Source organism: Homo sapiens, chromosome 2, assembly GCF_000001405.40.
Source record: "Homo sapiens chromosome 2, GRCh38.p14 Primary Assembly".
NCBI classification, from domain to species: domain Eukaryota; kingdom Metazoa; phylum Chordata; class Mammalia; order Primates; family Hominidae; genus Homo; species Homo sapiens.
The window spans coordinates 75738733-75756169 of NC_000002.12; the positions used below are offsets into that span (position 1 = coordinate 75738733).

The 17437-nt window shown below is 37.0% G+C and overlaps 1 long non-coding RNA gene across 1 annotated transcript in view; it reads left to right on the top strand.

Annotated features, from left to right (window-relative positions):
- LOC105374813 (uncharacterized) overlaps positions 1-13364 on the top strand; it is a 41322-nt gene extending 27958 nt beyond the window's left edge. The window contains exons 2-3 of the long non-coding RNA XR_940260.2: positions 10934-11181; positions 13126-13364. This is a non-coding gene — a long non-coding RNA (uncharacterized LOC105374813). The remainder of the gene's footprint in view (positions 1-10933; positions 11182-13125) is intronic.
- Positions 13365-17437: the final 4073 nt, after the last annotated feature.

Below are 17437 nucleotides of genomic sequence, written 5' to 3' on the forward strand. Positions count from 1 at the left end.
CTATGCATCCATGCTCAGGATCTGAGAAGCAGCCCTGCAGTGCCCTTACTTCCCTGCGGACATGCTCCTGGCTTGTTCAATAGCTTGTTTCAATAAAGGCCTGAGAAATAGTCCCATAGGCTGCCCTTGGCAGGCATGCACCAAGATAGGCAAAGCAGCCAGGAGCCCACGTCTAAAACCTGACAAATAGCCCTGTGGGCCAACCCTGGTGGACATGCCCCAGGCCAGGTAAGCAGCCATCCACCTGTATAAGGGACCTGATAAAAAGCCCTATACGTCACCTTCAGTGAGCATGCTCCTGAGCCAGCCTAGCAGGCTTGTACCTGCATCTGACCTGTAAAACAGCCACCTCCAGCAGACATGCTCCCGGGTTGGTGGAACAGCCAGAGCCTGCATCCTGGTCCTGAGAAATATCCTAGGGGCCCACCCCTAGAAGACACACCCCCAGGCCAGCTAAGCAGCTGTGTGATTGACAAATAGCTCCATGGGCCCACTGTGATGGTTAATATTGAGTGTCAGCTTGATTGGATTGAAAGATGCAAAGTATTGTTCCTGGGTGTGTCTGTGAGGGTGTTGCCAAAGGAGATTAACATTTGAGTCAGTGGACTGGGAGAGGCAGACCGACCCTCTGATCTGATTTGGCCAGATCTGATTTGGGCAGGGGAGATGAGGCTTCAGACCCAACCCTCAATCTGGGCACCATCTAATCAGCTGCCAGTGTGGCTAGAATAAAGCAGGAAGAAGTTGGAAAGAGGAGATTTGCAGAGTCTTCCGGCTTTCATCTTTCTCCCATGCTGGATGCTTCCTGCCCTCGAACATCAGACTCCAAGTTCTTCAGCTTTTGGACTCTTGAACTTATACCAGTGGTTTGCCAGGGGCTCTTGGGTCTTTGGCCACAGACTGAAGGCTGCACTGTTGGCTTCCCAAGTTTTGAGATTTTAGGACTTGGACTGAACCACCACTGGCTTCTTTGCTCCTCAACTTGCAGATGGCCTATTGTGTGACTTTACCTTGTGATCGTGTGAGTCAATTCTTGATAAACTCCCTTTCATATATACATATATTCTATTAGTTCTGTCCCTCTAGAGAACACTGACTAATACATTGACCCCTGGCAAAGTGACATCAACATCACCAAAAACTCTCTCATTCTAGCCCACTGAGAAACTCTCACATTACCAGTGTGAATTACAGCTGAAGAAACTTCATGGAGACTACACTACATCCACCTAGAACTAAGGCCAACACACCCCACTGAACCGACACCCCAAGACCCATTTATACAAATTATTTATACTAATTTATTATACTAATAAATTGGTCTTGGGGTGTCAGTTCAGTGGAGTATGTTGAAACCTACACCATTAAATTGGAAGAGGTGACTGCATTAGCCTGTTTTCACATTGCAAATAAAGACATACCTGAGACTTGGCAATTTACAAAAGAAAGAGGTTTAACAGACTTGCAGTTCCATGTGGCTGGGGAGGCCTCACAATCATGGCAGAAGGTGAAAGTCATGTCTCAACATGGTGGCAGATAAGAGAAGAGAGCTTGTACAGGGAAACTTCTTTTTATAAAACCATCAGCTCTTGTGAGACTTATTCACTATCAAGAGAACAGCATGGGAAAGACCTCACCCCATGATTCAATGACCTCTCACCGGGTCCCTCCCACAACCGTGGGAATTAAAGATGATATTTGGGTGGGGACACAGCTAAACCATATCATTCCACCCCTGACCCCTCCTAAATCTCATGTCCTCACATTTCAAAACCAGTCATGCCTTCCCATCAGTCCCCCAAAGTCTTAAGTAATTTTCGAATTAACTCAAAAGTCCATAGTCCAAAGTCTCATCTGAGACAAGGCAAGTCCCTTCTGCCTATGAGCCTGTAAAATCAAAAACAAGTTAGTTACTTCCTAGATACAATAGGAGTACAGGCATTGGGTAAATAAAACCATTGCAAATGGAAAAAATTGGCCAAAATAAAGGTATTACAGGTCACATGCAAGTCTGAAATCCAGCGGGGCAGTCAAATCTCACAATCATGGCAGAAGGTGAAAGGCATGTCTCAACATGGTGGCAGATAAGAGAAGAGAGCTTGTGCAGGGAAACTTCTTTTTATAAAACCATCAGCTCTGGTGAGACTTATTCACTAGCAAGCTCCAAAATGATCTCCTTTGACTCCATAACTCACACCCAGGTCACACTGATGCAAGAGGTGGGTTCATGGTCTTGGGCAGGAGTAGCTATATGTATATCAGACAAAGTAAACTTCAGGTTAAAAGCTGTAAAAAGAGGCAAAAAGGACACTATATAATAATAAAGGGGGTCGGGCACAGTGGCTCATGCCTGTAGTCCCAGCACTTTGGGAGGCCGAGGTGGGTGGACCATGAGATCAAGAGATCGAGACCATTCTGACCAGCATGGTGAAACCCCGTCTCTACTAAAAATACAAGAATTAGCTGGGTGTGGTGGCGTGTGCCTGTGGTCCCAGCTGCTCAGGAGGCTGAGGCGGGAGAATCGCTTGAACCTGACAGGTTGCAGTTGCAGTGAGCTGAGATCACGCCACTGTACTCAAGCCTGGAGAGAGTGAGACTCTGTCTCAATAAATAAATAAATAAATAAATAAATAAATAAATAAATGGATACATTCAGCATGAGACTATAACAATTATGTACATATGTGTTTGTGTGTCTCTATATATATATATAGACACACACACATGCACACACACACCCGACACCATAGCATCTAGATATATACAGCAGATATTATTAGATCTAAAGGGAAAGATGGACCCCAATATGATAATAGTTGGGAATATCAACATCCTACTCTCAGCATTGGACAGATCAGCAAAGAAATATCAAATTTAAACTATGCCATAGATGAAATGGACCTAACAAAAATTTACAGAACATTTCACCCAACAACTGCAAAACACACAGTTTTTTTTTTCCTCAGCACATGGAACATTTTCCAGGATGATCATATGTTATGACACAAAACAAGTTTCAACAAATTTTTAAAAATCAAATTATATAAAGTGTTTTACCTTATCAAAATGGAATAAAACTAGAAAGCGATAACAAGAGGAACATTTGAAACTGTACACATACATGAAAATTAAACAGCATGCTTCTGACTGACTAATGGGTGAAGACAAAAATTAAGAATAAAATGTAAAATGTCTTGAAATGAATGAAAATAGAAACACAACGTTTCAAAGCCTATGAGACACAGCAAAAATAGTATTGAGGTAAGTTTATAACAATAAATGCTTATATCAAAAAACAGGGAAGATTTCAAATAAGCAACTTAATCATGCACCCCAAAAATGAGGAAAGTAAGAACAAACCAAACCCCAAATTAGTAAAAAGAAATAAATAATAAAGATGGGAGCAGAAATAAATGAAATTGACCCTAAAAAATACAAAAGGTGAATAAGACAAAAAGTTGGTTTTTTGAAAACATAAACAAAATTGACAAACCTTCAGGTAGACTAAGAAAAAAAGAGAGGGGACCAAAATAAATAAAATCAGAAATGAAAAAGTAGACATCACAATGGATACCACAGATATACAAAGGATCATTAGAGACTGCTATGAATAACCATAAGCCAATAAATTTGAAAACCTAGAGGAAATAAATAAATTACTGAATACATACAACCTACTAAGATTGAACCAAGGAGAAATAGAAAGCCTGAACAGATCAATAATAAGTAATGAGATTGAATCAGTAATAAAAATGTCTCCCAAAACAGAAAAGTCCAGGACTGGATGGCTTCACAGCTGAGTTCTACCAAACCTTTAAAGAAGAATTAATGTCAATTCTTCTCAAACTGTTCCAAAAAGTTAAAGCAGAGAAAATTCTTTCTAACTAATTCCATAAGGCCAACATAACTCTCACATCAAAACCAGACAAGGAGACAACAAAAAAGAAAACTACAGGCCAATATCCGTCATGAACATAGACGTAAGAATTCTCAACAAAATGCTAGCAAACTGAATCCAATAAAACATCAAACAGATAATACACCATGATGAAGTAGGATTTATCTCAGGAATGCAAGAACGTTTCAACATACACAAATCCATAAATGTCATATATCACATCAATAGAATAAAGAGCAAATATATGTGATCATCTCAATAGATGCAGACAAAGCATTAGATAAAATTTAACATTGTGCCATGACAAAAACCCTCAATAAATTAGGTACAGAAGAGAAGTATCTCAATATGATAAATGTCATGTATGACAAACCCACAGCTAACATGTTGCTAAATGGGGAAAAGCTGAATGCCTTTTCTCTATGAACAAGAACAAAACTATTCTCACCACTCTTTTCAACATAGTACCAGAAGTCATAGCTAGAGCAATGAGGCAAAAGAAAGAAATAAAGGACATCCAGAATGGAAAGGAGGAAGTCAAATTGCTCCTGTTTGTAAATGACATGACATTATATAGAGAAAAACGTAAGGATTCTACCAAAAACTCTTAGAACTGTAAAACTAATTGAGTCAAGTTGCAGGATACAAAGGTAATAAACAAAAATCAGTAGTATTTCTATACACCAAAAACAAGCTAGCCGAAAAAGAAATCAAGAAGGCAATCCCATTTATAATAGCAACAAAAAATACCTAGTAATAAACTTAACCATGTGAAAGATCTCTACAAACACTGATGAAAGAAAATGAAGACAATACAAACAAATGAAAAGACATCCCATGTTCATGGATCAGAAAAGTAAATATTGCTAAATTTACAATACTACTCAAAGCAATCTACAGATCCAATGCAATTCCTATGAAATCATCAATTGCATTCTTCATAGAAATGGAAAAAATCCTGAAATTTCTATGGAACCCCAAAAGACCCCAAATAGCCAAAGCAATTCTGAGCAAAAATAGCTGGAAGCATCACACTACCAGATCTCAAAATATACTACAAAGCTATAGTAATCAAAACAATATGGTACTGTCACAAAAAGAGACACATGGATCAATGGAACAGAATAGCAAACCCAGAAACTAATCCACATATCTACAACCACCTGATTTTTGACAAAGGTGCGAAGGACACTAATTGGGGAAAAAACAATCTCTTCAATAGTTGGTGCTGGGAAAAGTGGATATCCATATGCAGAAGAATGAAAGTAGACCCCCACATCACACCCTATACAAAGATCAATTCAGAATGGATCAAAACTCTAAATAGAAGACATGAAACTATAAAACTGTTAGAAGCAAATATAGTGAAAATGGTTCAGGATATGGGTCTGAGAGAAGATTTTATGAATAACACCTCAAAAGCACAGGCAATAAAGCAAAAATAAACAAATGAGATTATATCAAACTATAAGCTTCTGCACAACAAAGGAAACAATCAACAGAGTGAAAAGACAACCTACAGAATGAAAGAAACTATTTTCAAACTACTCATACTGCAGGGGACTAATATACAGCATATATAAGGAACTCAAACATCTTGACAGCAAAAAAAAAAATCTGATTGGAAAATGGGCAAGTCTGAACAAACATACAAACATTTGTGAAAAGAAGTCACAAAAATGGAAAACAAACATGAAAAAATGCTCAACAACGCTCATTACTGGGAAAATGCAACTCAGATGCACCATGAGGTATCATCTCACCTCAGTTAGAAAGGCTACTACCAAAAAGACAAAAAAATAGTAAATGCTAGTGAAAATGTGAAGAAAAGGGAACTCTTACTGTTGGTGGGAATGTAAACCCATACAGTCACTATGAATAACAGTATGGAGGTTCCTAAAAAAACTGCAACTAAAATTATCACATGACCCAGCAATCCCACAACTGAGCATTTATCCAAAGGAAAGGAAATAAGTATATCAAAGATACATCTGCACCCCCATGTTTATTGCAACACTGTTCACAATAGCCAAGATATGGAATCAACCTAGGTGTCCAACAACAGATGACTGAGTAAAGAAAATGCAATATATACATAATGGAATACCATTTAGCCACAAAAAGATAAAATCTTGTCATTTGTAGTAACATGGATGGAAGTGGAGGACATTATGTTAAGTGAAATAAGTCAGGAACAAAAAGTTAAACACCACATATTCTCACTCATATGTGGAAGCTGAGAAAAGTTTATTCATATGAGTAAAAAGTAAAACAGAGGATACTAGAGGCTGGCAAGGGTAGAGAGAAGGGAGGGATAAGTAGAGATTTGTTAAAGGACACAAAATTATAGCTACGTAGGATAAATAAGTTCTAGTGTTCTCTACCACTGTAGGATGAGTAGAATTAACAACAATATATTATATAGCTTCAGATAGCTAGAAGGAGAATATTGAATGTTCCCCACACAAAGAAATGATAAATGTTTGAGAAGATGTATATACTAATTACCCTGATCTGATCACTATGTATTATACATATGTAAACATCACTATGTAACCCATGAATCTGTACAATTATTATTTATCAATTAAAAAGATCAAAATTAAAAAAATCCTTGTCTGTGGAACTTACAGTCTAATTGACAGAGACAGTCAATAAATGAGTAAATGAATGATTGGATAAATAAATAAATAAAATCCATAGTATTTCTGACAGTCATAACGTTTATGGCAAGAATATAAAGTGGAGGACGGGATAACAAAATATGGAGTGTTGAGCAGATTTGCAAATAAAGATTCACTGTGGGGATGATGTTTGAGCAAAGCTCTGAGGGATCAAGCTCTACAAATACTTGGTAGAAAAGTTGTCTGAGTAGAAGATACAAGTACAAAGCCTTGAGGTGAGAGAGCATCGGATATCTGATATTTTCAAGGAATATCAAGGAGGGTATTGTGCCATGAATGAGATGAAGGTTGGAAAGGGGGATGGGGAAGAATTGTTTGAGATGAAGTTACAGAAGAACAAAAGTCAGTTTATGTAAGCTCATGTCATTCAGTGTTAAGAACTTTGGTTTTTGTTCTGAATGAGAAGGAAGCCCACTGGAGAGTTTTGAGTAACGAAGTAACATGATTCAATATAGTTTTTAAAATAATCACTCTAGCAACTGTGTTGAAAATAGATTCTAGGTGGGCGCGGTGGCTCACGCCTGTAATCCCAGTATTTTGGGAGGCTGAGGTGGGCGGATCACCAGAGGTCAGGGGTTTAAGAACAGCTTGGCCATCATGGTGAAACCCTGTCTCTACTAAAAATACAAAAAAATTGTCAGGCATAGTGGCGGGTGCCTGTAATCCCAGTGACTTGGGAGGCTGAGGCAGGAGAATTACTTGGACCCAGGAGGCAGAGGTTGCAGTGAGCCGAGATCGCGCCATTGCACTCCAGCCTGGGTGATGGAGCCAGACTCCATCTCAAAAAAAAGAAAAAAAAGAAAAGGAAAGAAAATAGATTCTAAGCTTTAACAACTTGCTTAACCTATAGAATGTGGCAAAAGTATGTTCTAAGACTTTCAACATTAGGTGATAAGAACCTTGCAACTTTTGCCTGGCGCTCTTGAATATTTACTCTGGGAATCAGCCACCATGAAAGAATATCTCCTTTTCTGAGACTATCATGCTATGATGGAGTGAAAGTCTCCATGGAGGTAGAGATGCCTAACTGGCCTCTAACTATACTAGTCATCCAAACCCAGGCACCAAACTTGTAAATGAATAAGCCTCCCTATGCCTACAGCCTCAGCTACTGCTGACTGTAACCATATGAGGGGCCGCAAACCACATCTGCCCAGCTGAGCCTGTCAACCCTCAGAGCAGTGAGAGGTAACAATAAATAGTTGTTTTAAGTTACCATATTTTAGGGAGGTTTGTTGTGTAGCAAAGGGTAACAAATAGAATTCATCAACATATAGATGTCATGTAAAACTATGAGACGGGATGAGCCCATGAGGGAGTGAGAAGAGAAAAAGAAAAGACATTTAAGGATTAAAATCTAGGATGTTCCAAAATTTTGATGTTGGAGAGACTGTGAAGAACAAAACAAGACAAACAATAATAACAAAAGGCAAAACAAAGTTATTACCCCTCAGTGCTTTCAAGATTTTACACCATTATCTTCTGAAATTTCTTATATAAGAAAGAAATCTGCTGTCTGTTAATCTCAATTTTTTTTTTCTTTCGTTTTTTGAGATGGAGTCTTGCTCTGTCACCCAGGCTTGAGTGGGGTGGCACGATCTTGGCTCACTGCAACCTCTATCTCCCGGGTTCAGGTGATTCTAGTGCCTCGGCCACCTGAGTAGCTAGGACTACAGGCGCCAGCCACCATGGCTGGCTGTATTTTTTTTTTTTTTTTTTTTTGTAGAGACAGGGTTTCACCATGTTGTCTAGGCTGGTCTCGCACTCCTGACCTCAAGTGATCCACCCACCTTGGTCTTCCAAAGTGCTAGGATTACAGGTGTGAGCCACTGCATCTGACCTCAATGGTTCTTCTAAATAATGTTTTTTTTTTCCCTCTCTGATAGCTTTTAAGATTTTCTCTTCTTTCCCTGACACTGTATAATTTCACTCTGATATAGCTTAGTATGTACTTATTTTTATTATCCTGCTCAGTAGTTGGAGTTCAAGTGTATTCTAAGGACATATGCTTCCTTCAATTCTAAAAAAATTTCAGCCACTAACTTGTGGCTCTATTCTTCCTTGTAGTCAGGGAGAGTCCTATTATACATATGCTGTCATTTATTAATTTTTATCCTTGTCTCTTATTGCTCTGTCATATGCATTTGTGTACATGTATATATGTGCTTGTGTGTACATATATTACACTTAAGTATAATTCATTTTTCTGTTTTTGCTACTGTGCTTTGACAAATCCTAACTACCTTCTGATTCATGAATTCTCTCTTCTACTATGTCCTATCTAGGGTTTTTCTTATTCATTGACTTGTTTTGAATTTTGATTATCATATTTTCATTTTTCAAGACCTCTTTATTTTCATTTTCATCTGTCCTTTACAAATTTTCCACTTTTATTTTATAATTGTCCTTTCTAAGGCTATATTTCCTTCATTTTTGTCATTTCAGGGCCTACTAACATGTTTATTTTAAAGCCTTTGTCTGATTATGCTATACAGTAAAATTCAATTGAAGTGAATTCAAGCTCATATTGTTGTTTGTTGAACATCTTTCTTAGCATTATATAATTTTCATGTCATTTGAAATATCCTATTATCTCTGTGTTTTGGCCTTTCATGGCTCCTATAATCTGCAGTCTTAAGTAGAGTCAGTAGTCATTTTCTTAACCCTGTTTTCATGAATTGAACATCTTTACCAAACCCTGACTTAGTCAGTAGGTCTTTCTCTGATTTCGTTTTCAGCCTAGTGGATCATTATTATTCTCCATAATTCCACAGGAACCAGACTCCGAATTACTCCTCTTTGCCCTTGACCCAGAGCGCAGCTCCCATTTTTCATTTCTTTTCCATATCAGGTTTATGAAACTGTTTATTTCTTTTTTAGCACAGTTTAAAAAATTTTGTTATTGTTTGTTTTTTTCCACATTTTTTACTGTTACTGCTATGTATTTGCAGTAGAAGGAGTATTTCAAAGTGTGAATTTACTGTTCTATCTCTTCTGAGCTCTTGTATTATATCATTTGTTGGAGATTAAGTGAAAAGTTTGCTACCTGAATCCTACTCATTGCAATTATTTCCTACCTGGCTCCTTGCAGATGAAGCAGAGCCCAAACTAAGTGAAGGAGTGCAAAGTGTTCTAAAGTACATGATTATCAAATAAAGCTGCTTGGAGAACTTGATGGGGCCTTTCCCCCTTCTCCCATTGTTGGATATTGGGGCCTGATAATTCTGACCTCCTAATACCCATCCCCACCTCAACCCACTTACAGGTTGAGAAACTTTAAAGAGCAGTCACTCCTCACTGGGGTGTTGCTATTAGTGGGTACCACCTTGCCCCAGTGGTCTTACATCAAAAGCTAAGTAAGCCAAGAGGTCAAAGCATGGGATGTTCTTCACAGAAATCACAGGAGACCAGAGGTATCAACTCTCTCCAATTCTCTAACCATATTAATCACCCTGGCTTCTTATGGGAGGATCAGTTTCAGGGGTTGTACAGGGCCTAGAAGTGTTAGCACCAGGCTGCTCTCTACCCTGTAAAAACATGAGAAGCTGAGAATACAAGTATTCCCTTAATTCTTCTAATCCAGTAATTCTATTTTCAGGAATCAGTCCTGACCAGAGGTATGGCCAAGACTTATGAATAAATATATTTTCCTTACTTTTACCTATAATAGTGAAAAATTGGGAAAAACAAACCCTGATGTCTAAAAATTATAATCAGTTTATATAATGAAATATCACATAGCTTTTCAGATTTTTAAATTTTAAAAAAGTGACATGATACGTGATCACAATACAATCTTAAACAAGCCAGATTACATATTATAATATATGCTATAATTTTAGTTTTTAAAAACAGAACAGGAACAAAATACATCAATGTATTAATAGGTTACCTTTCTATAATTTAAAAGGCTTCTTATATAACTATATATTACTTTTATAACCAGACAAAATATGTTGTTAAATAAAATGCTATCTGTGTTCTAATATATATATGATCACTATAAACAACAAATTTTTATACATAAAATGACATATAAAACTGAGTGTTAAGTTAATATCCAAACACCTGCTATTACAAAGAAGTTTCATTGTACTTAACTGTACGTAACTTTCTGTTCTAAATAGTTAATGTAGAGATAAGAAATAGAATATGAGTTGCCACATATAATTTAAAAACTTTTCTTGCACGCATTAAAAAAATCTCTAAAAGAAAATAAGATCACACACAATCTTTTTATAGCAGGGTGAAAAATGTCTCATTAGGTAATGTGCATGTTGGCATAAAAATGAACGTAATTTATATTTGAATTTTTGGCTAATCAAATGACATATGTTTTATTGTCTTGCAGTTATATTAATGAGCAATATTTAATTAAAAGCTAATTGAATATTCCAAGCAGCAATTATCTTGCAATAGAGATGCCAAATCTGACATGAGGAGGCAGGTGAGCAGAAAGCAGAACTTGTGTAATTATTCCTCTGGGAGATGGAGAAGAAGAGACCACACCAAGCATTGCCACAGTAAGAGATTAGTGAAGATTCTGCCCTAAACAAAACCATTTCCTTTGTTGAACTTATATTGTACTTTCTTCATCAGGTAAGTTGCGTTTAACTAAAGCAACGTAGCATTCTTTAGTTCACAAATGCAATTCTTTAGACATCCTTTGAACCCCACCCAGGAAGAGGAGAGTGAGCCACACTTATTTCATTGATTGAGGTACTGATTGTGTGTGATGTAGCCTGTAACCTGGGCCGGCACACTTTAGACATGAGATGAAAGATAAAATACAAAACAAAACAAGAAAATTCCTTTAAAATCAGAAGATAATCTATCAGTTTATTTATTTATTTTTCCACAGAGAATTTTGGTTGTCACATCAGCTTAATTTAAATGAAATCTTTTTTGTTTTTGGAGACATTTCAACATTTTATATATATAAAGTAATATATATTAATATATAATATACATATAAAGTATGTATATGTTTCCCTTATTTACTGAGGCATAATTTACATATGATAAAATTCACTCATTTTAAGTATACAATTTAATGTATTTTGGCAATTGCATATATCTAGGTGACCACCAGCAAAACCAAGTCTTAGAATATTTCTATCATTCTAAAAAGTTTCCTTGCACCCCTTTGTAGTCAATTTTCTCCTTAGGCCACCAGTGTCAGGCAACCATTAAGTCTGTTTTCTGGCACTATATTTTTGTTATTTCTAGCACTTCATGTAAATGGAATCATATAATATATAATCTTTTGTGTTTGACTTTCCTCTTTTTTATTTTGGAGATTCACCCATGGTGTTGTATATTTTATATAAGTTAAAGTGCAATCATTATTAACAAGACTAAGGAATTTTCACCTTATTTATCTGCCCGTGAAGAGGAATTCAGTCTTTGCCATCTCAGGAGAGTTAATTATTCATATGGACAGAACACTCCTGCTCCCACAAATGAATTTGTTGAGGCTCTAGCCCTCAATATGATGGTATTTGGAGATGGAGTCTTTGGAAGATAATTAGGATTAGATGAGGTTATAAGGGTAGGACCCTGATGATGGGATCAGTGCTCTTGTAAGAAGAGAAAGAGAGGCCCAAACTCTTTCTGTCTCTCTTCCATGTGAGGACACAGTGAGAAGGTGGCCATCTTCAAGCCTAGAAGAAAGCCCTCACTGGGGAACTGATTAGGCTGGCACCTTGATTTTGGGCTTCCCAGCCTCCAGATCTGTGAGAAGTAAATTTCTGGGGTTTAAGCTCTGCAGTTTATGGTATTTTGTTATGGCAGCCCAAGTTGACAAATATCTTTAAGATTTGTATTTTTGGTATTTTTCTGGCAGAGAGTTGGGAGAATGGAAAGTGGAAGATAGAATTATAGATACAGGAGGGAAAAAGGAACTCAACCAGAGAGACTAAGATGACCTACATCAGTGGTACTCAAAGAGTGATCCCTGAACCATCAGTATCACCTGAGCACATGCTAGAAATGAAAATTTTTGTGTGCCATCAGAGACCTCCAGAATCAGAAACTCTGGCATGAAGCCACCAATCTGTGTTTTAACAGGCTCGCCAGGTGATGCTGATGCACATTAAACACTTAACATAAAAAAGGACTGTATTGAGAGAAGAGAAGAGGAAGAAGGCTGATACATCAGATGGGCTAAAGGTAGAAGAAGCTTCAGACAGAGCCCCAGTAGCAGCTGTGACTTATGAAGGAAGTAAAGATTTAAGTTAGCATTTCTGTAGATTAGGTATCGAGATCTCTTTCTGGTTTTCAAGACACAAGGCTCTGAGTCATTTTGAAATTGTCCTTGTGTTTTTGCGTGTGTTTGGTAGTACTTTTTTGAGCCTGTGCACATGTGACCTGGATTCATAAGATATATATATATATATACACACACAAACACACATCGGTTTATTCTCCACTCCACAAGTATAATTGTCCAAATGGGGGTATTGATAAATGAAGTCTGCATTAAACTAGAACTTGTCTTATACTTTTTCACAGTATTTATACAATTTTTTTTTTAATTTTTAGCATGACGGGACACTATGAGTGAAAGAAGAAAAACTTTGCAAGGCTCTGACATTAAGAAGGAGGGTGATGAAAATTTTGAGTGGCTTGCACATGTTGTATAGGAACCATGGCTTCACAGCCCTGGGCAGATGCTTGAAGCAAAGGCGCAGAACAAAGGATGAACAAGACACATAGGGTGAACATTCAGCTGCTCGCTAGGACTGTAGCTGGAGTGTTTAGTAGATGAGGGGAATAGTTTGTGCAACGGTAAGCTGATGTTGTATTGATTTTATTTTAATCCTCAATGAAAGACACTCAACAAGAATACAAAAAAAGAAAAATAAAACAAAAAGAACGAAAGCTGATTAAGTGCTGTTAGACTGCTTAAAGAGCACTAAGAAAGCCTGTCTCAAACAACCTGGTTCATGTTATTGCTCAACAAGGGAGAGAGCTGCTAAGAGTAAAGCCTTAATGGTATCTTGAAAAAAACTTTGGGTTTTTATGAGCCTAGGATTGTAATTAGGTTTAGAGCTTGAGTGGTTTGGGGATGGGACTTAACAATTTGGGATTAGGTAAAGCAGGCCAGTTGAAGTCACTTTAATTGACATGGGAGCATAGAGCAGGGTTTTTAGCAATTGTTACACTTAGTGTCTTAGGGTGTTTGCTTTTATCTTTCAAAGCAGTCTGTGGCAAAGCGAGCTGGGTCTTGCTTATCCACACTCTTGGTAAACATCCAACTTTAGTTTTCTAAGTTCAGTTCTAATTTCTCAGTCTTTATTTCTCATAAGAAACCATAACAAGAGACTATTTTAAACTTTTGGTAGCTTCCACTTTTTACACATTTACATATCATCTAAAAATGCTAAGTCAATATTAAGTCCATTTTGTACTGTGCTTTGACAAGTATTAATCTGATATTATCAATTACCCCCATTCTTCTTCAGTTATCTCAGATCAGAATATGATGATATTCTAAAATTTCTTGTACAACTCTTGGCCACTTATTTGCAGAGTTTCTGATTTTAGCTGTTTTAATTATATTATCTTGTCTACCTCTGCATTTTTAAATTACAAACAAATATAAAAGTATTCCCAATCTTTTTTAGTCTCTTCTTATAAGCAGCTGTCAATCCCTTTATTATTTATTCACTTTACTCATCCCTGAACCCTTAAAAGATATACAAACAGCAGGAGATTAATTGATGTATTTTCCTAGCGGATTTAGTGCAAACTATATCAGTTATTTCTGTAACTTGAGAAGTGACTGCTAAGAAAAAAAAAATGTTGCCTCTATTTTGCAGTACTCATGGCCTGTCCAAAGAAGTTAGCAGCTAAAACAGCATTCAGTATTTAATCTGGGGATAAAGCCAAGAATTAGGTAGAAAATCTTGCAAAGCAGATTAGATTTGCAATCTGAAAGCCCACACAGCCAGCTGGGCAAAGAAATATTAATTGTGTACTGAAATGCGATTTCTGACATTTCTTTTAGTCTCAGGGATGAGCAATGAAAACATGATCCTCTTTGAGCTTCAGAGGAGCTTACAGTAAATTCCAAAATATGAAAAGAGATGTGGTATTTTTATTACCACTATATCATTATCTTTCATTAACAGCTGTAATTAGTCTGAGCCAGACTGTCATCTGCTATTGAAATATCTGAAACAAATTAGACATAAGATATGTTACGGGAACAAGATTGGGAGACTGAAAATTTACACAAATGAGGCCTTCTGAAATGATGAACACAAGTCATAATAATGTTTCTGAAATAAATCAAAAACAAGACAAAAGAGAGAATGAAATCAATCAGGAGGATAGAAACCAGAATACCAGCACCTCAAAAAGTTTAATCACCATACTATAAAATCCAACTGTGGAAGGGCACTACAATTTTTATTACAATGACCAGGAGCTCTTGTAATAGCACTACTTAAGATTTAGTCTAAACAATAGAGAAAGGATCAGTTGAAGATAAGCTGTAACAGCTCACATTTGACTTTCAATGTTCTCACAACAGTTACCAGGAAAGTTTGTAGAAATTCTCCTGAAGATACTATGTTGCATTTGGTCCATAAAATATAGTATAGAAAACACTTAAGAAATGCTTAAATTTGTTGTGCTGTTTTAGCTTTCAAATGTAGTCCTCTGTCCCATAATCCCCTCCTTCTTTATGCTCCTCCTCCTCAATGACCCTCAACTCTTGGATCACAACTACCTTTCCTTCCATTCTTCCATCTCTCACTTCCTCCTCCTCCCCTCACCCTCTTCTTCTTCCTTTAAACAAGCTAATGGCTAAACAAAGTAAGAAACCCACAAACAAAATCAGATGCTCATTCAAGTAAGAACATTTCTAATTTATAAATAAACATATAATTTAGTAATTATAAATAAATACTGTTAAGTACTCAAACATTTTAGTAATAGAAGTAACTTCCTAACAAAGCTTAGAGTATACTGCTTGTAAGTTTACTGCTTTTTTAAAAAAATTATTTAAGCAATTATTAGAAAAGTACTAGAAATGGGTGGTCCAGTTCTTGGTCCAGTTGGTCAATTCTGCTGTCTTCTAGCTTTATACTTTGGCCAAATTGCATTAACTTATCTGAGCCCTATTTTCCTCCAATATGCTAGTTGATTAGATATTAAATACAATAGTGTATGTAGAGCCCTTAGCATTATACCTGCAGCAAAATAAGACTTCATTGCTATTTCCATCTCCCCACTTTTCTTTGTCTTAATAATACAAAGTAGTACTGTAGTGGTATTAATTTTCTATTGCTGCATAACAAATTACTACACCTTAGTTGCTAAAAACAATACCCATTTATTACCTCACAGTTTCCATGGGTCAGAAGTCTGAGCATGGTTTAGCTAGTTTCTCTGTTTAGGGTCTCACAAGGCTTCAAGTCAATGTGTCAGTTGGGCTCCGTTCCTTTATGGAGCTTGAGGTTCTTTTCCAAACTCTTATGGCTGTTGACAGAATTCAGTGCTTGCAGTTGTAGGATTACAGTTCTCCTTCTTGCTAGCTCTCAATGGTGGGACTACTCTCAGATACTAGAGGTCACTCCCAGTTCCTTGCCACACAGCCCTCTCACAACGTGACACCTCATTTCTTCAAGACACCAGGATCATCTCTCTCTCTCTTCTGCTAAGATAAAGTTTTATATAATACAACAATCATGAAGGTGATTATCATATTAATAGGTCCCTCTCATTCCCTGTAGAGATAATTCTACAGAGCAGGTACAACAAGGGGCAGGGATATTGGGGACCATTTTAGAATTCTTCTACCACAGCAGTAAGAGAAACAGTGAGTACTATACAGTTTATAGAGCCCAGGTAGGCTCATTTAATTAGGGAAGGTGCCATGGAGAGAGTGACATATACTCTGGTGCTTGAAGTTTAGGTAGGCCATGCCCAAAAAGTTTGCAGTAATAATCAAGGAGGTCAAACAAATCTAGTTCTTAGGAGATTAGAGCGTTTGCCTGCCACCACACCTTGGATAGGTAACTTAACTTTTATAATTCCACATTCTCAGTTATAAAGGTATTTTAGCATGGCAAAGACTGGTAGTTTTTCCCTTATATCCATTTCCTCCATTTTCCATAGAAGGAGAACCTCAGTTTTCAGCTGGACACGTGACCTGTTGGAATAAAGATTCTACTTCTAAACTTCCTTTGCAGCTAGATTGGCCACTTGTCTAAGTAGCTAAGTTCTGCCCAATGGGATGTAAACTGATGTAAGTGGTATGCTCGACTTCTTGGAAATGTCCTTAGAGAGATAGAATATGCCTCTCTTTTTTCTTTTCTTCTTATGGCTGAATAAAATGTGAACACAATGTTTGTAGATTTAGCAGCTACATTAAGCCATCAAAGTATCTTGGAAATGGAAGTTATACATAGCAGAGCAACAAGAATGAAGGAGTATGGGTCTCTGTCATCATGAAATGTCATTCCTGTCTTGGACTATGTTTGTACTTCTTAAACTTGAAAAAAAAAGCCGTTAAACCACAGTTATTTTTGGTTTCTCTGTTACTTGCAGCTTAATCTAATTGTAATGAATACCTCCACTTTATAAAAAATCTATGAAAGCAGCAAGCAATTGAATTCAAAATATATAAATCATTGAGATAAAAAGACATATATATATGGTTTTAAATGATTGAGTCAGAATAGTATTTTAAAATATTAATTCAGAAGGCATTTGTCATTATGTTTTTGTGACTCATGTCCAGACTTGTTCCTATATTGGGGAATTCTCCACCTTGTGAATCTCAGTGGTAGGTAGAGTCAACCCGCTGAAAAGCATGGCTTCTAGCTTTCCCAGAAACCCTTGC